The following is a 19,725-nucleotide window of genomic DNA, read 5'->3' as shown; positions in this document are numbered from 1 at the left end:
TCCAAACCATGACGACACAGTGAGAGAACATTCAAGGGGAGCCCAGACCCAGCTTCATAACCAGGCCTGTGAGCAGGAGAAAGTGGAAGGGATCGTAAGTGCCCAGGGGAGGCAAAGATGGACTCTGCCTGAGGATCTCAGAGATTTCCTGGAGGAGGGAGAATTGAGGTTGGGTGTTGAAGGATGAGTGGGAGTTCACCAGGAAAAGAAGGATATGGAGAAAGACATTCACTCATTCAATGAACATCTCCTGAGGACTTCTGCAAGCCCTGTTCCGCCTGGAACGGGGTGATGCTGGGACACAGAGATGAGTCAGACCTGGGCCCAGCCCTCCAGAAGCTGTCCACCTGGTGAGAAGGAATGATGAGGAGAGAGGCAGGGAGGATGGGGTGATGGAAGGGACAATGGGGTGGGGGGCAGGGAGATGGATGAAAAAAATATATAGCAAATGTTCTCAGGATTTGGCAAAGATCAGGATGTATTAAGAGAGAGCACAGGGCACTTGCTACCTGGAAGGTTGGGCACCTGGGTCCTTGGGTGGTGGAGCCGTGGGGAAGGGGGCAGGTTATGACAAGAGTGGGTTAATCCAGATGGAACCAGATTTCTCAACATTCTAGGAGAGGGCCTTGTCCTTGTGGGAAGAGGCCCAAATCCCCAGGGCAGGGAAGGTTCTGCAAGGTGTGTAAACCTGTGCAGCTGCCTGTGGTCTCTGCCTCACTCCACCTGGATTTCCCTCAATCTTTCCCGTGTTCTGTCTCCTCCTCCCACTCCTCCTCTCATCTTGGGTCCTTCTGTGCCTGTACCTCCCTCTCTTTGTATCTTTTGCTCTTGTGTCTGAGTCCTGACTCTGTCTTCCACCCCTCGCCTCCTTTCTGGGTGGTCCCCCTGCACATCCCTCCAGCCTGCCGTGGGAGGTTGGTCTCTGCACACCACTGCTTTATCCAAAATAAACCTGCTGCACCCCAGGACCTTAGGCTTCAAGGATCTCCCTCCTTTTCCAGGACACAAAAGATTCTGTATCTTGTAGCCTAAGGTGATGAGGAATGAGGTCTCCCACTCTGAAGACCCCAGAGGAGGTGCCCACAACCTCTCCACACCCCCAGCACTCCTCCTCCATTCAGTCAAGCTCTGGCCCAGCAAGCCGCCAGTTCATCCCAAAAGGGGGGTCCCCCTGCACTTACCTCCTCTCCCAAGGCCCCTGTCACAGCCCCAGGGCTTCCCCCTCCCCCAGGTACATTTCCCAACCCCGATTAATCACAGGGGCGGCCCCATGGAGGAGGAAGGAGATGGCATGGCTTACCATAAAGAAGCACTGGACGCCGGGTGCACGTTCCAGGATCCAGGTGCCCAGGGGTCATGAAGCTGGGACTCCTCTGTGCTCTGCTCTCTCTGCTGGCAGGTGAGGCTCCCAGGCTGGCTGCCCCTTCACGGCTGTACTAAGGTCACCTTGCTCTTCCCTCCCATCCCAGGCTTCTGCCTCCTGCCCTCTAGGCTTCTCAGCATCCTCTCCCTGCCCTCCCAGCCTGCTCTTCGCTGACCCCTTTGTCCCTCATCCCCACCCCAGGGCATGGCTGGGCAGACACCCGTGCCATCGGGGCCGAGGAATGTCGCCCCAACTCCCAGCCTTGGCAGGCCGGCCTCTTCCACCTTACTCGGCTCTTCTGTGGGGCGACCCTCATCAGTGACCGCTGGCTGCTCACAGCTGCCCACTGCCGCAAGCCGTGAGTGACCCAGGCTGGCCATGCTGGGGAGGGACAGAGGCTGGGGGTCAGGAGAGGGTGAGGGGTGCTTTAGGCCAGAAGTGCGGAGCCTCCACTTCTGATACCACAAGTTCAACTCTTAGAAGTAGGAAGGGTAGCCTCCCAAATCCTAAAATTCTAGAGACCAGCAATATCTCATTTGAGAAGTCTAAGATTCGAAACTTAGGCTCTTCGAATCCGAGACTGACCCAGAGAAATCCAGAATCGTAGAATCCTAAAATCTTGAATTTATGAAATTCTGCAATAGCCTCAGCAAATTTTAGAATCATAGATTCGCAGACTATTAGAATCTTAGCAGTCTGGGTCAGCACTGCCCAGAGGAATTATGATGCCAGCCACATGTGTAAGTTTAAATTTCTGGTGGACACATTTAAAAAATAAGGAATGAGTAAAATTAATTCTAATAGATTTAACTTGACATACCCAAAAACTTATTTTGACATGTAATCAATTTTTAAATACGTATGAACGATACAGTTTACTTTTGTTTTGGTACTAAGCCTTTGAAATCTGTTCTGTATTTTACACACATAGCCTGTTACAAAATGGACTAGCCACATTTCAAGTGTTCAATAGCCATAATGGCTAGTGTGATCCTAGAATCTTAAATTCAGAGCTTTCTAGATTCATTGAATATTGAAACTCACAGTACTAGAATCTTTGATTCACAGTATCCTAGAATATTGAGATTCAGATAATTCTGTAGTCTTAAACTATTTGAATCCCAGACTCTTAAATTTCTAAGGTTATAGATTTATAGAATGATGACATTCTAGTCTTTCTTTTTTTTTTTTTTTTTTTTTTTTGAGACAGAGTCTCCCTCTATCTCCCAGGCTGGAGTGCAGTGGCACAATCTCAGCTCACTGCAACCTCTGCCTCTCGGGTTCAAGCAATTCTCCTGCCTCAGCCTCCTGAGTAGCTGGGATTACAGGTATGCACCACCATGCCAGGCTATTTTTTTTTTTTTTTTTTTTTTAGTAGAGACGGGGGTTTCACCATATTGGCCAGGCTGGTCTTGAACTCCTGACCTTGTGATCTGCCCGCCTCGGCCTCCCAAAGTGCTGGGATTACAGGCGTGAGCCACCGCGCCCAGCCAAAATTCTAGTCTTTTTGTCCTAGAACATTAAAATTCTATGTTCAAATCTTAGATTTAATTCAGATAATGTTAGAATCCTGGAGTTTTTTTGATCCAGGGGAATCTGGAATGTTAGAATCTTGGATTCATAAAACTCTAAACCTTGAGCCTCTAGATTCTAGAATCATGGATAATAGTGTGTCGGAATCTGAGAATTCTAGAATCTTAGGTTCTGGGCATTCTAATAGTATCCTGGAATCCACCTGATGCAGGAATCCTCTCTCCATTGCCTCTGAAAAGTGACCATCCATACTGTTCCAATTTTCTTCCCTCCATGAGTAAAGCACTGATTGTGGTAAGAGATGCTGTGTGGGAATTTCCCATCATGCATTGCTCCATGATGGAACCTCCTTTAACTTAAGCCTATACATCAGACTGGGAGAACGATGTTCAGATTTCAGCCGAAAGTGAAGCAGGAGAAATGCAGAGATATGAAGGTGGAAGAGAGTGAGAGGCAGGGGAAGGGTAGGGGGATGAAGGGATGTAGGGGTGAGGACTACTTTTCCAGATCCAGAGCCAAGACAGCAAGAATGACAGAGAGAGACAGACACAGATGTTTCTGGTTCCCCAACCCTGAATTCGCAGTCATTAGCCTGCTGCCTAATGTCAGAGGTCAGAGGCTGGGGAATGGACTTGTCATCCCCGAAAGGATCCCAGCTGTCTAGGGCATGGACCAGAAATGAAACAAGTGCGCTGAGACTGTGGTGAGGGCTTAAGGTTAGACACCAGGAAGACATGCATTGAAGGGTGAAGGATATGATAGACAGGAAAAGCTGAGGCCAGAGATGACCCCCAATTTGGGGATTTTCCATATCCCATCCCCTTTCATACACACGCACACGTATACACACACACCACTTAGACATACAGAGCCGCTCCCACAGAAGCCACCAGACCTGTGGGGGCAGGGGTGGGGCGGTTGTTATGTGGTAGGTGGGGTCCCCCGTGCCCACACCGTTCCTAGGGACCCAAGTCACCACCAAGGCTCCAGGTGAGTAGGGAGGAAGGTGGCTCACTCAGCCTGGGACTAGGAGCGGGGGCTTTGTGGGGAGAGCTACAAAGATGGAGACACACAAAACATCAGAGTGGGGACCAGGGACCCAGAGGAGGTGTGTGCCTCGCTTAAAATCACAGTACCCTGGGCCAGACATAGATGATGAGGGTGCAGAGAGGGTGTGTGGCTTGCAGAGGGTCACACAGCACCCTGATGGACAGGAAAAGAGGGCTGGGGCTGAAAGGACTTTTACCTTTCCCCCAGCTTGACCTCTGAGGCCTGTCCCAGCAGGTATCTGTGGGTCCGCCTTGGAGAGCACCACCTCTGGAAATGGGAGGGTCCGGAGCAGCTGTTCCGGGTTACGGACTTCTTCCCCCACCCTGGCTTCAACAAGGACCTCAGCGCCAATGACCACAATGATGACATCATGCTGATCCGCCTGCCCAGGCAGGCACGTCTGAGTCCTGCTGTGCAGCCCCTCAACCTCAGCCAGACCTGTGTCTCCCCAGGCATGCAGTGTCTCATCTCAGGCTGGGGGGCCGTGTCCAGCCCCAAGGGTATGACCTGGCCCAGAACTCTCTCTGAAACTTGCTCCCTCACCCCTCTGTCTCTGCCTTTTCATCTCTGTCTTCTCCTTTTCTCTCTCCTCTCTCTCTCTGTCAGTCTATCTATCTGCCAATCGATATATTTAACCAAATATAAGATGCTAGCATTTTTAAGATGTGCCATTATTTCATGAACTGCGAAGAAGTGGAAGAAGGAGGAGGAGGAGAAGAAAAAAAGGAGGAGGAGGAAAGATCCCATTAGATCCCATTGATTATATAACACCATTTTCTGGAAGACACATTCTAATTTCAGAGTGTTTGTTTGTTTGTTTGTTTGTTTGTTTTTGAGACAGGGTCTCGCTTTGTTGCTCAGGCTGGAGTGCAGCGGTGTGATCACGGCTCATTGCAGCTTTGAACTCCTGGGCTCAAGTGATCCTCTCGCCTCAACCTCCCAAGTAGCTGGGATTACAGATATGCACCACCACATCCCACACCGGGGTCATTTTTTTATTATTTATTATTATTATTATTATTATCTTTTTTTTTGTATTTTTAGTAGAGACAGAGGTTTCACCATATTGGCCAGGCTGGTCTCAAATTCCTGACCTGGTGATCTGCCCGCCTTGGACTCCCAAAGTGCTGGGAAAACAGGCATGAGCCACTGCACCCAGCCAAAATTCTAGTCTTTTTTAAATCTAGTCATATCTTAGATTTAATTCAGATAATGTTAGAATCCTGGAGTTTTTTGATCCAGGGGAATCTGGAATGTTAGAATCTTGGATTCATAAAACTCTAAACGTTGAGCCTCTAGATTCTAGAATCATGGATACTAGTGTGTCAGAATCTGAGAATTCTAGAATCTTAGATTCTGGGCATTCTAATAGTATCCTGGAATCCACCTGATGCAGGAATCCTCTCTCCATTGCCTCTGAAAAGTGACCATCCATACTGTTCCAATTTTCTTCCCTCCATGAATAAAGCACTGATTCTGGTAAAAGATGCTGGGTGGGAATTTCCCATCATGCATTGCTCCATGATGGGACCTCCTTTAACTTAAGCCTTATGCTAAAAATTTTTATTATTTTTAGCAAAGATGAGGTCTTGCTATGTTGTCCAGGCTAGTCTCAAACTCCTGGCCTCCCAAAGTGCTGAGATTACAAGTGTGAGCCACTGTACCTGGCCCAGAGATGTTTAAATGTGAAATGCGTTCATCTTAGAATGGGAATAAGACCATGTCTCTCAGAGTCACGGATCACTGACCCATTAGCCAAATTGGGTCAGTGGATTGGAAAAACAGTCTGAATTTGTTGCTGCCAATATCTAAAACTTGGAAAGTTTTATACAAAAGCCAGGTTTCTGGATTCACCTGAAAAAGTTTGAAGAACTCACATTCCCAAAATAGCAAGCATTGGGCTGAGTCAATGGAGGCTGCCCCCTTCAGCCAAGATAAGTTCTCTGATTCACTCCAATGGACCCAAATGGCTCCTGTCTCCCTGCACAGCCCCCGTCCCCGACTTCTGTTTACCAATTCTGTTTATCATATCCCTTGATGCATCGGAGCCTGCACCCATGTCTTATATAGATGCACATGTGTATTATATATCCATATCCACATCTATACTGACTACACTGTATCTGGTATCTCTGTCTATGTCTCTGTCTCCATCAGTGACCATCTTCCTGCAAATCTCTTTCCTTTTATCTCACTGCCTTCATTCCACCCCTTGAGGTCTGGGTCTTTTTCTATTTCTTTTTTTTTTTTTTTTAAGAGACTGAGTCTTGCTCTTGTTGCCCAGGCTGGAGTGCAGTGGTGTGATCTCGGCTCACTGCAACCTCCACCTCCTGGGTTTTAAGTGATCCTCCTGCCTCAGCCTCCCGAGTAGCTGGGACTACAGGTGTGCAACAGCATGCCCAGCTGATTTTTTGTATTTTCAGTAGAGACGGAGTTTCACCATGTTGGCCAGGATGGTCTCAATCTCTTGACCTTGTGATCCGCCCGCCTCAGCCTCCCAAAGTGCTAGGGAGTTATATATGCATCTCCTCTTATCTCTTGGCTCTCTGCATGCATCTTTCTGTTTCTCTTCCTTCCTTTCTTTTTTTTTTTTTTTTTTTTTTTTTTTTTTTTTTTTTTGAGACGGAGTCTTGCTCTGTCTCCCAGGCTGGAGTGCAGTGACCAGTCTCGGCTCACTGCAACCTCCACCTCCCAGGTTCAAGTGATTCTCGTGCCTCAGCCTCCCGAGTAGCTGGGATTACAGGCGCCTGCCACCATGCCTGGCTAATTTTTGTATATTTAGCAGAGATGGGGTTTCACCATGTTGGCTGGGCTGGTCTCAAACTCCTGACCTCAAGCGATCCGCCGGCCTCGGCCTCCAAAACACTGGGATTACAGGCATGAGCCACGGTGCCCGGCCAGCCTCTCTCTCTACTTGGCCCTCTTCCTCCTTGTCTCCATTTGTTTCTCTTGTGTGCTATGACTGTCTGTCTGTCACTGTCTCTTGTCTCTATCTTTGAGAGTCCTAAATGTGGCTCCATTGGTCCTTTGGAAAAGCTGCAGGGAGGACTCAGGGCAGTGGGGTGCTGAGTGTGTTGGAGACAGTTGCAGATCCTTGACAGTTCTCTTCCCTGACAGCGCTGTTTCCAGTCACACTGCAGTGTGCCAACATCAGCATCCTGGAGAACAAACTCTGTCACTGGGCATACCCTGGACACATCTCGGACAGCATGCTCTGTGCGGGCCTGTGGGAGGGGGGCCGAGGTTCCTGCCAGGTGAGACCTTACTCTGGGGAAAATGAGGCTGTCCTGCCAAGTTTTCTAGGATTTAGGGGAGCAGAGGGGTCGGCCCCCAGCCTTCCTGGGTCAAAATGAGAAGGAGACTGGGATACCTGGTTCCTGGGAGAGGACGGGACCAGGGCCTGGACTCCTTAGTGTAAAAGAGAAAAGGTCTGGAGGTCCAGACTTCTGGATCTACAGGAGGAGTGGGCTGGGCGTCCAGAGTCTGAGTCCTCGGGGAGGAGGAGGTTAGGTCCTGCGGGGAGGTGGGCCCTCTGAGCTTTTACTCCTGGGTCTGAGGAAGAAGAGGCTGGAGATGGAGGACTCTCGGATGTTGGAGGAGGAAGGGGCTGGGGCCTTTCTGGGAGGGAGGAAGTGGCCCGTGTAATTGTCATGAACAGAGTGGCCTAACAGTTCCTCTGCCCTTCTCTCGCGTACAGGGTGACTCTGGGGGCCCCCTGGTTTGCAATGGAACCTTGGCAGGCGTGGTGTCTGGGGGTGCTGAGCCCTGCTCCAGACCCCGGCGCCCCGCAGTCTACACCAGCGTATGCCACTACCTTGACTGGATCCAAGAAATCATGGAGAACTGAGCCCGCGCGCCACGGGGGCACCTTGGAAGACCAAGAGAGGCCGAAGGGCACGGGGTAGGGGGTTCTCGTAGGGTCCCAGCCTCAATGGTTCCCGCCCTGGACCTCCAGCTGCCCTGACTCCCCTCTGGACACTAAGACTCCGCCCCTGAGGCTCCGCCCCCTCACGAGGTCAAGCAAGACACAGTCGCGCCCCCTCGGAACGGAGCAGGGACACGCCCTTCAGAGCCCGTCTCTATGACGTCACCGACAGCCATCACCTCCTTCTTGGAACAGCACAGCCTGTGGCTCCGCCCCAAGGAACCACTTACACAAAATAGCTCCGCCCCTCGGAACTTTGCCCAGTGGGACTTCCCCTCGGGACTCCACCCCTTGTGGCCCCGCCTCCTTCACCAGAGATCTCGCCCCTCGTGATGTCAGGGGCGCAGTAGCTCCGCCCACGTGGAGCTCGGGCGGTGTAGAGCTCAGCCCCTTGTGGCCCCGTCCTGGGCGTGTGCTGGGTTTGAATCCTGGCGGAGACCTGGGGGGAAATTGAGGGAGGGTCTGGATACCTTTAGAGCCAATGCAACGGATGATTTTTCAGTAAACGCGGGAAACCTCACCTTCTTTCTGCCTGAGCTGTGAGATGAGTGGAGAGCAAACGGGTGGGCGGTGAAGGGCAGATGAGGGAACCGGTACCGCCTTGCAACTCCCCCTTAAACCCCTAGTAAGTTTTGCCTAAAGTCTCTGTCCATCAGCCCTATTGCAGCAAGACTCCTGGGTTCTGCTTGGGTTGGTCTTGCCGCCTCCAGGGGAAGGGGAAACCAGGTCACAGTGCCTCCCAAACCTGCCCTCCCAGATCCCGGACCTCTCAGGGGACAGCGGGCGGGGCCTGATCCACCCTCTGGTTTCTGACCCTAGAAGACCTGCCTTTCTTCGGTTCCCGGTTACTGGCAGCAGCCCCCTCCTCCCACAAAAGATCAGGTTCCAAGCTTCTCCTTTTAAAAGTACTTAGAATTCAGCCCCCAGCTCTCTCCTCCCTCACACCCAGGAATCCAGGCCCCTAGCCCCTCCTCCCTCAGACCCAGGAGTCCTGGCCCCTAGCAGCCCCCTCCTCCCTCAGACCCAGGAGTCTGGGCCCCCAGCCCCTCCTCGGTCAGACCTAAATCCCAGGTCCCAGTCCCTCCTCCCTTAGATTTAGGAGTCCAGGCCCCCAGCCTCTCCTCCCTCAGACCCAGGAATCCAGGCCCCCAGCCTCCTCCCCTCTCAGAACTAAAATCTTGGCCCCCAGCCCTTTATGTTTCAGATCGTAGAGTCTCAGCACCGAGTCCCTCCTCTCCCTAGCCTCAGGAGTCTGAGATTCCAGCCCCTCCTCCCTCAAGATTTCACGTTCAATCCCCTCCGCCCCTTCTCACTCACACCCAGTGTTCCAGTTCCCAGAAGCTCCCCAGGCTCTAGTGCAGGAGGAGAAGGAGGAGGAGCAGGAGGTGGAGATTCCCAGTTAAAAGGCTCCAGAATCGTGTACCAGGCAGAGAACTGAAGTACTGGGGCCTCCTCCACTGGGTCCGAATCAGTAGGTGACCCCGCCCCTGGATTCTGGAAGGTGAGGTGCAGAGGTACTCAGATACAGACATCAGGCCCCGGACCCTCCTTCTCCAGATTCCAGGACCCCAGCCTCAGATGCCCTTCTCTGTCGAGATCCAGCAGTCTGGACCCCGGCTTCCTCCTCTCCCTAATTTAGGAGTCCCAGCTCCCAGCTCCCTGTCCCCTCAGACCCAGACATCGAGGACTCCCCCCTCCCTTGGAATGTAGGAATCCAGTCCCCCAGCCTCCTCCTTCCTCCAGAGAAGCCCAGAACAGCCCCAGATACTCTCGGCTGCCTCCCCAGTGCCCAAATCCAGAACTGGGAGCTCAGGCTCCTCCTTCCTGTTTACCGGCCCCGCCCTCTCCATTTCCCAGACCTCACCATGGGACGCCCCCGACCTCGTGCGGCCAAGACGTGGATGTTCCTGCTCTTGCTGGGGGGAGCCTGGGCAGGTGAGGAGGGTTGCGGAGGCCTCCGGAGGGGAGGGATCTGAAGGCAGCAGTGGCGCTGGGGAGTCTGTGGGAATGCCGCGGGGGTTATGTGGGTGCGTGTGCACGGATGTGAAGAGTGCGATACGGTGCAGGAGCCTCTGTGGGCTTTCCTCAGGGTGGACAGAGGCAAGAAACAGGTAGCAGCAGGTAGGAGTAGGTTCCGTGATGCTGTAAATTGTCTGAATAGCTACAGCCTTTGGGGGCTGCTTGCTTGGGGGCATAGATTCACCTGGGAGTACTCGGGGCCTGTAGACTCATGTGGAAGCATGTGGGGGCATTCTTGGGTGTGTGACTCTTGTATGATGACACATGGACTGAAATGAGTGTCCCCGTGTGGCAGCGTGTGGAAGCCTGGACCTCCTCACTAAGTTGTATGCGGAGAACTTGCCGTGTGTCCATTTGAACCCACAGTGGCCTTCCCAGCCCTCGCACTGCCCCAGAGGGTGGCGATCCAACCCTCTCCCTCCTGCTGCAGGACACTCCAGGGCACAGGAGGACAAGGTGCTGGGGGGTCATGAGTGCCAACCCCATTCGCAGCCTTGGCAGGCGGCCTTGTTCCAGGGCCAGCAACTACTCTGTGGCGGTGTCCTTGTAGGTGGCAACTGGGTCCTTACAGCTGCCCACTGTAAAAAACCGTGAGTGGATGATGGGGGCAGAGGTCAGCTGGGGCTTAAGGAAAGAGGGGGCTGGGGTTTCGACTCAGGAAGGAGAGAGCTGAGGACTGGACTCCTGGGTCTGAAGGAGGAGGGGGCTGGGGGCAATACCCCTGCCTGGGTCCCAAACTATCCCCACCATTACAGGAAATACACAGTACGCCTGGGAGACCACAGCCTACAGAATAAAGATGGCCCAGAGCAAGAAATACCTGTGGTTCAGTCCATCCCACACCCCTGCTACAACAGCAGCGATGTGGAGGACCACAACCATGATCTGATGCTTCTTCAACTGCGTGACCAGGCATCCCTGGGGTCCAAAGTGAAGCCCATCAGCCTGGCAGATCATTGCACCCAGCCTGGCCAGAAGTGCACCGTCTCAGGCTGGGGCACTGTCACCAGTCCCCGAGGTAGTGGGCTTGTCCACTAATGGGAGGGAGAGGAGGAGCTGGTTGGCCCAGTGGAACCCAAGCTATTGGCAAAGCTTGGTCCCCCAGAGGGAGACAAAGAAGGGAAAGTGATCATGATGTTGAGATTCACAAGCAGGAGTCATATGAGAAGCCTCGAAGATCTGACTACTAACAAGAGTGGTGAGAGAAAGAACCAACTAGCAGATTGTTAAGCAGGGCCAGAAAAGCCCATCCTGTATGGCGGAGAGCACTACCCTATGGGACCTTTGGTTGTATAGGATTTTATATAATCTTAACACACTTGGGATATTTGGACTTCTCAGAGGCCCAGGAAAACAGGCTCCTAAGCACCTTCTCCCCCACCTCCCTCCTTTTTTTTTTTTTTTTTTTTTTTTTTTTTTTTTTTTTTTTTGCAGGGGGACACAGTTTCACTCAATCGCCCAGGCTGGAGTGCAGTGGCACAATCTCAGCTCACTACAATCTCTGCCTCCTGGGTTTAAGCGATTCTCGAACCTCAGCCTCCCGAGTAGCTGGGATTACAGGCACCCGCCACCACGCGAGCTAATTTTTGTATTTGTTGTAGAGACAGGGTTTCGCCATGTTGACCAGGCTGGTCTCGAACTCCTGACCTCAAGTGATCTGCCCGCCTCGGCCTACCAAAGTGCTGGGATTACAAGCATGAGCCACCGCCCCTGGCCTTTTTCTCCTTCTTGAACCCAGGAAACCTGGGCCCTGGTCACCTCTTCCCTCAGACCCGGGAGTCTAGGCCCTTCTTCTCCCAGGACCCAGCAGTCCTAGCTCCCTCTTGACTCTGGACCCCAAAATCTGGACCTCCAATGAAGCTGTCCCTTTGGGACTCCAGAATCCAGAGAGCCCCTCGCCTTCCTTCACAGTGAAAACATTGGGACTCACCTAAGAGAGTCAAGGAGCTTCTCCAGGAAGTGGCAAAGTCAGCATTCAGGTCCCTGCCTGCCTCACTCCTGCTCTGAATGCTTTGGATGAGACAGTTTGCGGCTGTGGAAACACACGTGCTCGCAAATCAAGTAGATCAGTTCAAACTATGGCTCTGCCCTTTCTCCCTGGGCAAATTCCTTTCCATCTCTGAGCCTCACTTTCCTTATCTGCAAAATGGGAATCATTAACCAATAGATTTTTTAGCTACGTGAGGGTTCAGGTTACATCAGTTTTCTTCATTGTGTTCTCCTAGTGCTCAGAATGGTGCCTGCTACATGGTAGATGCTCAATAAATATTTGTTGAATGGATGACCTGATGAATAAATAATGAAATGAATGAATGCATCTCTCCTTCAAAGCGCTGTTGTGAGGATTAAATGAGATTATGAGCATATTGCTTTTGGCACGTAGAGATGCCAGATGGAAGTTTTTCCCCCTCAAAGAGGCTTTGGAGAAGTCTATTCCTCAAAAGAGGTTAATAAAAAAGATCAATTCCACCTTCAATCATTAATTCAACTCTTATTTACTGAGCACCTAGTATGCCTGAGGTGCTGTTGCAGGCGCTGGATATACAGCCATGAGCAAACTGTACAAAGTCCTTGTCGTTATGGAGTTGCAAGCTAGGTGGGAGAAATAGACAATAAACAAATACACATAAAATAAAACATTAGGCAAAGTGCTGTAAGGAAATATTGTGGAGCGTAAAAGGATAGGGAGTAATGGAGGGATGGTATTTTTTAATTCGAGTGGTCAGGGAAGGCTTCCAGGAGGAGGTGACACTTGGAAGGAGCAGGATTTAGCACAGATTGAGGACCCGGTTGTCTGAGGGCAGGAAGACTGGAAAGAGAGGGTCAGAGGTATCATAAAGGGGCACCTCCAAGTAACCCCCAGCCCCTTGATTTGAAAATGGCTCAGGGTAAGAAAAAACACGTGAGATCCAAGGGCCCCTCTCTAGATGGAGAAAGCCCAATAGCAACAAGTACAGCTTCGTTTAATGTGGTGAGAAGTGATGTCCCCTGTGCACAGTGTCAGAAAATTCCCCCATGCAGCTGGAAAACTCCCCCATTACATCCTGGAAAGAAAGGGGGTTAGATCCAGACAGGGATGGAGGCAAAGGGCTGCTCTCTCAGGGAACCTTACAACCTCTTCCCCCTCAGAGAATTTTCCTGACACTCTCAACTGTGCAGAAGTAAAAATCTTTCCCCAGAAGAAGTGTGAGGATGCTTACCCGGGGCAGATCACAGATGGCATGGTCTGTGCAGGCAGCAGCAAAGGGGCTGACACGTGCCAGGTGAGCAATTTCTGAAATCCTTCTCCTCACACATCCCTCATTGCCCTCTCGAGGTTCAAGGCTTGGATGGGGGTGGGGGTGGTAAGGGAGTGACCCCAAAGACTTGGCACCCGGAGTGTTCACCCCTATCTCTACGGATTGGGAGCCAGGTTCAGAGAAGCCAAACTCTCTCTCTGAAAGTCACACTGCATAGGGATTAGGAGCATTGAATTGCTGCTGCTGTTTTCTTTCGAACGCTTAACTACAGGATGGGATGCAGAGTTGGGGGCTATAGAGGGTGGGGTAGATGTCCAGCAAGGAGAGAGTCTGAGGCTAGAGTTTAGACGAGTTGCCTGCTCTCTGGTTCCCAGCATTACATCGTGGAATTTGTGCCGACTTTACCACCGGCCCGGTGGTCAGCCACTTTTCTTTGAGACCGGGCTAGAATCCCAAGGCTGGTTCCCTTCTCCTGTGATTGGTTCCTTGGGAGACAATGGTGTCTTCCCAGTTGGCTGGAGTAAATGGTGCCATTGACTTCAGTGCTTCCTCAATGAGCTCCAATCCCTTTCTCTTGGGATTTGTCATAGATATAACTCTCTCTTCTAACTGCAACTTCGTTGTTCCTAGCACTTTCCCCTGGCTTTGTCCACTTCCTGGAAGCCCCACCACCTTTGCCAATGACTGGTCCCTAAATACAATGCTTTCTTCCCCATTGGCCAAAAATGGAGTCGTTTCCATCAGCGATACTGCCATGAAAGCCAGTCTCTGGATTGTTCTGTAGAGATAGTGGTCTCTTCCACAAATATTTCAGCCATGGTCTCTTGGGGATATGGTGTGTGTGTGTGTGTGTGTGTGTGTGTGTGTGTGTGTGTGTGTGTCCATAAGAATCTTGATCCTTTCTCCTATGTTTGGCAACTGCAATCAATGATGCCTTCACTATTGGCCAGGAACAGAGGAAACTTCAGCTCAGTCCTCTCCAAGTAATCCCTACTGTCTTCTCCCTGGATTGGACCCTCGAGAACTCTTTTTTTTTTTTTTTTGAGACAGGGTCTCGCTCTGTCCCCCAAGCTGGAATGCAGTGGCACAATCTTGGCTCACTGCAGCCTCTGCCTCCCAGTTCAAGCAATTCTCCCACCTCAGCCTCCCGAGTAGCTGTGATTACAGGTGTGCACCACCACACCCAGCTAGTTTTTGTATTTTTAGTAGAGACAGGGATTCACCATGTTGGCCAGGCTGGTCTGGAACGCCTGACTTCAAGTGATCTACCGCCTCGGCCTCCCAAAGTGCCGGGATTGCAGGTGTGAGCCACCAAGCCTGTCTGGGATTTCATTCTTTCCCCTCTTCTGTCAGTGTTTTGACCACTACCCTTAGACACCATGTCTGTCTGTACATGGAAGCCCCAAGCCCTGTCCTGACTGGTCTCAGGGGACAATGCTTTTACCCCCATTGGCTACAGGGGACCAATCATGCCAAAGAACTGGTAAAACGCTGGGACAGCAGGAAAAGGGACGTTGTGGACATCTCAGATGCAAGGCTGTTCTCATTCTCCCTGTCTAGGGCGATTCTGGAGGCCCCCTGGTGTGTGATGGTGCACTCCAGGGCATCACATCCTGGGGCTCAGACCCCTGTGGGAGGTCCGACAAACCTGGCGTCTATACCAACATCTGCCGCTACCTGGACTGGATCAAGAAGATCATAGGCAGCAAGGGCTGATTCTAGGATAAGCACTAGATCTCCCTTAATAAACTCACAACTCTCTGGTTCCTTGCCTGTCTCTGTTTTGGCCCTGTGGGGAGGGCTGGATGGGGATCCGGGATTGTTCCTGCTGGCAGACTAGGTGGGGATGTGCAGAAACCAAGTTCTCATGGTCACTTTGGCCATCACCACTGCCTAAAGTGATCCCTCGTTTTCTGGAAGAACTTGGGTAAGAGCTTTATTTCAGGGGAGAAAATACATACAAAGGTCTTCAAACATTCAGTGGGCTGGTATGTGAAAGACAGTTTTGAAAGAGTTTGTGTTTAGTTTTCCTGAGCAAAGCATTTACAAGCTTTGGAGATAAAATTTTCCCCCTTTAAAAAATAATTGGCCAGGTGCGGTGGCTCAAGCCTGTAATTTCAGCACTTTGGGAGGCCGAAGCGGATGGATCACCTGCGGTTAGGAGTTCGAGACCAGCCTGGCCAACATGGCAAAACCCCGTCTCTACTAAAAATACAAAAATTAGCAGGGTGTGGTGGTGGGCATCTGTAAACTCAGCTACTCAGGAGGCTGAGGCAGAAGAATCGCTTGAACCCAGGAGGCGGAGGTTGCAGTGAGCCAGGGATCATGCCATTGTACTCCAGCCTGGGTGACAAGAGCAAGACTCGGTCTCAAAATAAATAAACAAATAAATTAATAATAATAATTGTGCCAGGTATGGTGGCTCATGCTTGTAATTCCAGCACTTTCACAGGCTGAGGTGGGAGGATCACTTGAGCCCAGGAGTTCAAGACCAGCCTGGGCAACAATGTAAGACCTCATCTCTATTTTTATTTAAAAAAAAAGAAAAAAAGAAGAAAAGGGAAAACATTGGGAGATATGCATAGAAAAGAGTGCAGAAAATATATGAACAGCTTAAATATTCACAAATGAACAACCATGAAACCACCACTCGGGTCAAAAATCTTGAGAGCTCCCAAAAATCCAGATAGAACTCTTTCTCACAGCCTAGAGCCATCTGGTGGTGTCTGCTGTGGTAGAAGGAAATGAGTGGTGTGTCCAAATTGAAGTGTGACGCAAAGGGCATTTGGGAAAGTTTTCATTAAAGCAAAGGCTTAACATAACTTGTTTTAGGGAAAGATGAGTGTGGAGGGGGTAGTTATTACAAGGATATAGTCACTCTTCTAGTGGTGCAGGCCAGGTGGGCCCAAAACTGGAGCTTAGCCAGGGAGGGTTCCTGGCTTTGTCCAGGAAATAATTCAAGGGCAACCCAGTGGTGTTAGTGACTTTTCTTGAAACAGTACTGCACAGTAGCAGAGGTACTGCTCTTTGCAGAGCAGGGCTACCCCATAGGCATTGAGCACAAAGTAGCAGCTCAGGGCCAGTTCTGTAGTCATATTTAGTCCCATTTTCAATTACATGCAAATTAAGGGGTGGGTTATTCAGAAATTTCTAGAAAAGGGCTGATAAATTTTGGGTGTTGTCATGGCAGTGGCAAACTGTCATGGTGCTGGTGTGCACGTCTTATGGAGATGTGCTTTTGGTGCCTTTTCCCTGTTCCAGCTGTCTTCAATCTAGTCCAGAGTTAAACCCCGCCTCCTCCTTCACTAGGATCTTTAGAAAATAGTCTCATGAAAGAGAATCTGATTCATCTAGCTCACCTTTTCTTCTTCAGCCACATCATTGGTCACTGAATGGCCAATCATTTGATGGCATCCCAGTCAGGTGACCAAATCTTAGCCAATCAGTGGCTACTTGGAGTCATGTGATATGAAACATGGCCACTTAGTGCTATGGGAAGGCAATTCTCCACAAGGGGCGTGGGTGTGTGAGATACCTTGCATTCATCAATCTCCCTGATGCTTTATGACAGTTCCCCCATACCAGAAATCCTGAGGAAGTCTTTCAAGCATGGCATTAAACTTCTGATGCCAGGGATGCATTTCTGGGGGGGACATCTCAACTCAAAGAATTGTTTTATAATTTTTATTATGGAAAATTTCAAACACATGCAAAATAGAATAACATAATGTGTCTTCATATACCACCATCCAACTTCGATAATGAATGCAAGGTCCGGTGCAGTGGCTCACGCCTGTAACCCCAGCACTTTGAAAGGCCGAGGCACGAGGATTGCTTGAGCCCAGGCATTCAAGACCAGTCTGGGCAACATAGGGAGACTGGTCTCTACAAAAGATTAAAAAATTAGCTGGGCATGGTGGCATGCGTCTGTGGTCCCAGCTACTCAGGAGGCTGAGGTGGGAGGATCACTTGAGCCTGAGAGGTTGAGACTGCAATGAGCTATGATTGTACCACTGCACTCCAGCCTGGGTAACAGAGTGAGACCCTATCTCAAAAAAAAAGTTAATGCAAAACCAATTATTGTTTCACCTATACTCCCACCACACACTTCCCTAATGCCAGAATATTTTGAAGCAATCTCAGTCACCACAACATCTCATTCTTAAATATTTTATTATGCATTTTTAAAACAGGGGATGGCAAATTACAGCTGTTGGACCAAATCTCCTGAGCTAAATTTTTTTTTTTTTTTTTTTTTTTTGAGATGGAGTTTCGCTCTTGTTGCCCAGGCTGGAGTGCAATGGCGTGATCTCGGCTCACCGCAACCTCCGCCTCCCTGGCTCAAGCAATTCTCCTGCTTCAGTCTCCTGAGTAGCTGGGATTACAAGCATGCACCATCACGCCCGGCTAAAATTTTTTGTATTTTCAGTAGAGACAAGGTTTCTCTATGTTGGTCAGGCTGGTCTTGAACTCCCGACCTCAAGTGATCTGCCTGCCTCCACCTCCAAAAGTGCTGGGATTACAGGCGTGAGCTTGATAAGGAATAGCAACAAAAAATTTGTACTAAATTATCATTACTACATTTTGAATTTCATCAATTAAAAATTGTGAAATTTTATTTTCTTTCCTGCTATTAAATATCTACATAATATCTTCCATTTTTCTCTCTTGGTCCACATAAGCTAAAATATTTACTCTCTGGCCCTTTATTTTAAAAATTTGCCAATCCTTGTTCCAAAAGAGACTCGTTTTAAACATAACCAACTTACATTATCACACCTTACACAGTTGATACTTTCTTAGTATCATCCAATGCCAAGGAGATTTTTTTCCTTTTTGAGACAAGGTCTTACTCTGTCACCCAGGTTACAGTACAGTGAGCATTGCACAAACAATGCTTAAGGCAGTTTCTACCTCCTGGGTTTCAGCCATCCTCCCACCTCAGCCTCCTGAGTAGCTGGGACCACAGGCATGTGCCACCACGCCCAGCCATTTTTTTTTTTTTTTCAGTAGAGCTAGGACTCTACCATGTTGCCTAGGCTGGTCCAGGAGATACTTTAATGTCTCCAGTGGAACATAAGCCTGAAAAGACTTGGGGATTGATTTACTCAATCTTAGGTACTAAGGAGGGGCATGGAGGGAACATAGCAGCTACTAACAGAAACAAAAATCTCCTTTCTCCTGGCATCTTGATATTAATCCCAGGGAGGAACTCTAATTGGTCCAGTTTGAACTGGGCCCACCCCTTGAATCTATCATTGTTGCCAGAGAGAAAACACTGATCTTGTTGACTTGGCCTGGGTCATTTCTCCGCCTCAGTGGGTGGGTGGAGTTGGAGAACTACGATTGACAGTTTCACCAGAACTATAAGAAATAAGGCAGCATCTCCCCCAAAAGAAATGGGGTTCTGCCGGAAGGTGGAGGTTGCAGTGAGCTGAGGTCGCACCACTGAACTCCAGCCTGGGTGACAGAGTGAGACTCTGTCTCAAAAAAAAAAAAAAAAAAAAAAAAAAAAAAAAAAGAAAGAAAGAAAGAAATAAGGAGGAAGAGAATCCAGGAAGTATGAAACAATGGGCCATCAGAACCCATGGGCTGAGTCAGGAGGTACGAGGGTCACAGTGTTCAGAATCCCTCAGGGAAAGGCATAGCTGGCAAGATTATCAGATGCCAGTTCTCAGGTGTGATCATAAGGTGGAAGATGAGTCATTTAACAAAGGTTCAGGACATAGGTCTGAGGACGATGGAGGTATGGGGCTGGGTGTCTGGATGACACTTAGCAACAGGTGCCAGGACTAAATGCAAAGGGCACAGGGGGCCTGGATATGGGCCTCTCTCTGACATGGGGGTATGCATCATTAATAGGCTGAGGGCGATCCAAGTCTGTTTTGAACCAAATGAGACTCAGAGGGTACATGTGGATGTAACAAGGAAATTTCCTTCTCAGAGTATGGATTTGTGCAGTAGTGATACCATAGGCCTTTGAATCCCAATGTTCAAATTCTGGCTTTTTTTTTTTTTTTTTTCCTGAGATGGAGTCTTGCCCTGTCACCCAGGCTGGAGTGCAGTGGTGCAACCTCGGCTCACTGCAACCTCTGCTTACTGGCTTAAGTGATTCTCCTGTCTCAGCCTCCTGAGTAGCTGGGAGTATAGGCACATGCCACCACATCCGACTAATTTTTTGTATTTTTAGTAGAGATGGGGTTTCACCATGTTTGCCAGGCTGGTCTCGAACTCCTGACCTCAAGTGATCCATCCACTTCGGCCTCCCAAAGTGTTGGGATTACAGGCTTTAGCCACCACGCCTGGCTGAATTCTGACACTTCTGACTCCTCAGCTCTGTGACTTTGCTCAAGTGATCTAGCCTTTTTTAAACCTCCATTTTCTCATCTATAAAATGGGGATGATGGGGCAGGCGGCAAAAAATAAAGGTAAAATGGGGATGACAATCCTCACCTGGACCAATGTGAGGAATACAGACACACCACACTAAATGTAGGGGGGAAAATGGGAGCTGCTTCTTCATTCCGTGGGTGATGGGCTGAGGGAACTCATGTTAATTCACTGGCTGTTATGTGCCCATCAATTTTCCATTCATA

The 19,725-nt window shown here is 49.9% G+C and overlaps 2 protein-coding genes across 7 annotated transcripts, besides 3 other annotated features; both read left to right on the top strand.

Moving 5' to 3' along the window:
* Window positions 929-1,429: an enhancer, noted in NCBI's record as "H3K4me1 hESC enhancer chr19:51512731-51513231 (GRCh37/hg19 assembly coordinates)". NCBI's record gives its function as "activates a minimal SCP1, AML or CMV promoter by ChIP-STARR-seq in primed H9 embryonic stem cells {active_cell/tissue: H9 hESC(primed)}" and the evidence as "EXISTENCE:reporter gene assay evidence [ECO:0000049][PMID:30033119]".
* On the top strand, window positions 1,312-8,396 carry KLK9 (kallikrein related peptidase 9). Its single transcript, NM_012315.2, has 5 exons — window positions 1,312-1,399; window positions 1,565-1,721; window positions 4,181-4,446; window positions 7,064-7,200; window positions 7,644-8,396. The coding sequence occupies exons 1-5, from the start codon at window positions 1,357-1,359 to the stop codon at window positions 7,791-7,793; spliced, it is 753 nt and encodes a 250-aa protein (NP_036447.1). The 5' UTR covers window positions 1,312-1,356; the 3' UTR covers window positions 7,794-8,396.
* Window positions 3,826-4,325: an enhancer, noted in NCBI's record as "H3K4me1 hESC enhancer chr19:51509835-51510334 (GRCh37/hg19 assembly coordinates)". NCBI's record gives its function as "activates a minimal SCP1, AML or CMV promoter by ChIP-STARR-seq in primed H9 embryonic stem cells {active_cell/tissue: H9 hESC(primed)}" and the evidence as "EXISTENCE:reporter gene assay evidence [ECO:0000049][PMID:30033119]".
* Window positions 9,300-14,896, top strand: KLK8 (kallikrein related peptidase 8). Of its 6 annotated transcripts, none has more exons than NM_007196.4 (6): window positions 9,300-9,372; window positions 9,729-9,806; window positions 10,321-10,480; window positions 10,646-10,908; window positions 13,020-13,153; window positions 14,690-14,896. In NM_007196.4, the coding sequence occupies exons 2-6, from the start codon at window positions 9,737-9,739 to the stop codon at window positions 14,843-14,845; spliced, it is 783 nt and encodes a 260-aa protein (NP_009127.1). In that variant the 5' UTR covers window positions 9,300-9,372; window positions 9,729-9,736; the 3' UTR covers window positions 14,846-14,896. The 6 variants fall into 6 exon arrangements, 5 of the variants coding, with proteins under 5 accessions (NP_009127.1, NP_653088.1, NP_001268360.1 ...); NM_144505.3 differs by having other exon boundaries at window positions 10,186-10,480; NR_104008.2 differs by lacking the exon at window positions 10,646-10,908.
* Window positions 16,397-16,691: an enhancer, noted in NCBI's record as "tiled region #5518; HepG2 Activating non-DNase unmatched - State 22:ReprW, and K562 Activating DNase matched - State 12:CtcfO". NCBI's record gives its function as "activates a minimal TATA promoter and a strong SV40 promoter by Sharpr-MPRA in HepG2 and K562 cells {active_cell/tissue: HepG2 | K562}" and the evidence as "EXISTENCE:reporter gene assay evidence [ECO:0000049][PMID:27701403]".

This window comes from Homo sapiens, chromosome 19, assembly GCF_000001405.40.
Source record: "Homo sapiens chromosome 19, GRCh38.p14 Primary Assembly".
NCBI classification, from domain to species: domain Eukaryota; kingdom Metazoa; phylum Chordata; class Mammalia; order Primates; family Hominidae; genus Homo; species Homo sapiens.
Note: the sequence above shows the minus strand (reverse complement) of the source record. Positions and strands in the feature narration are given on the sequence as shown.

Coding starts and splice junctions, on each gene's coding strand:
- KLK9 (NM_012315.2), top strand. CDS start 1,357: ATGAAGCTGGGACTCCTCTGTGCTCTGCTCTCTCTGCTGGCAG. Junction 4,447..7,063: donor GGCCGTGTCCAGCCCCAAGG/GTATGACCTGGC, acceptor CTTCCCTGACAG/CGCTGTTTCCAGTCACACTG. Junction 7,201..7,643: donor GGGGCCGAGGTTCCTGCCAG/GTGAGACCTTAC, acceptor TCTCGCGTACAG/GGTGACTCTGGGGGCCCCCT.
- KLK8 (NM_144505.3), top strand. CDS start 9,737: ATGGGACGCCCCCGACCTCGTGCGGCCAAGACGTGGATGTTCCTGCTC. Junction 9,807..10,185: donor GCTGGGGGGAGCCTGGGCAG/GTGAGGAGGGTT, acceptor CCCGTGTGGCAG/CGTGTGGAAGCCTGGACCTC. Junction 13,154..14,689: donor AAGGGGCTGACACGTGCCAG/GTGAGCAATTTC, acceptor CTCCCTGTCTAG/GGCGATTCTGGAGGCCCCCT.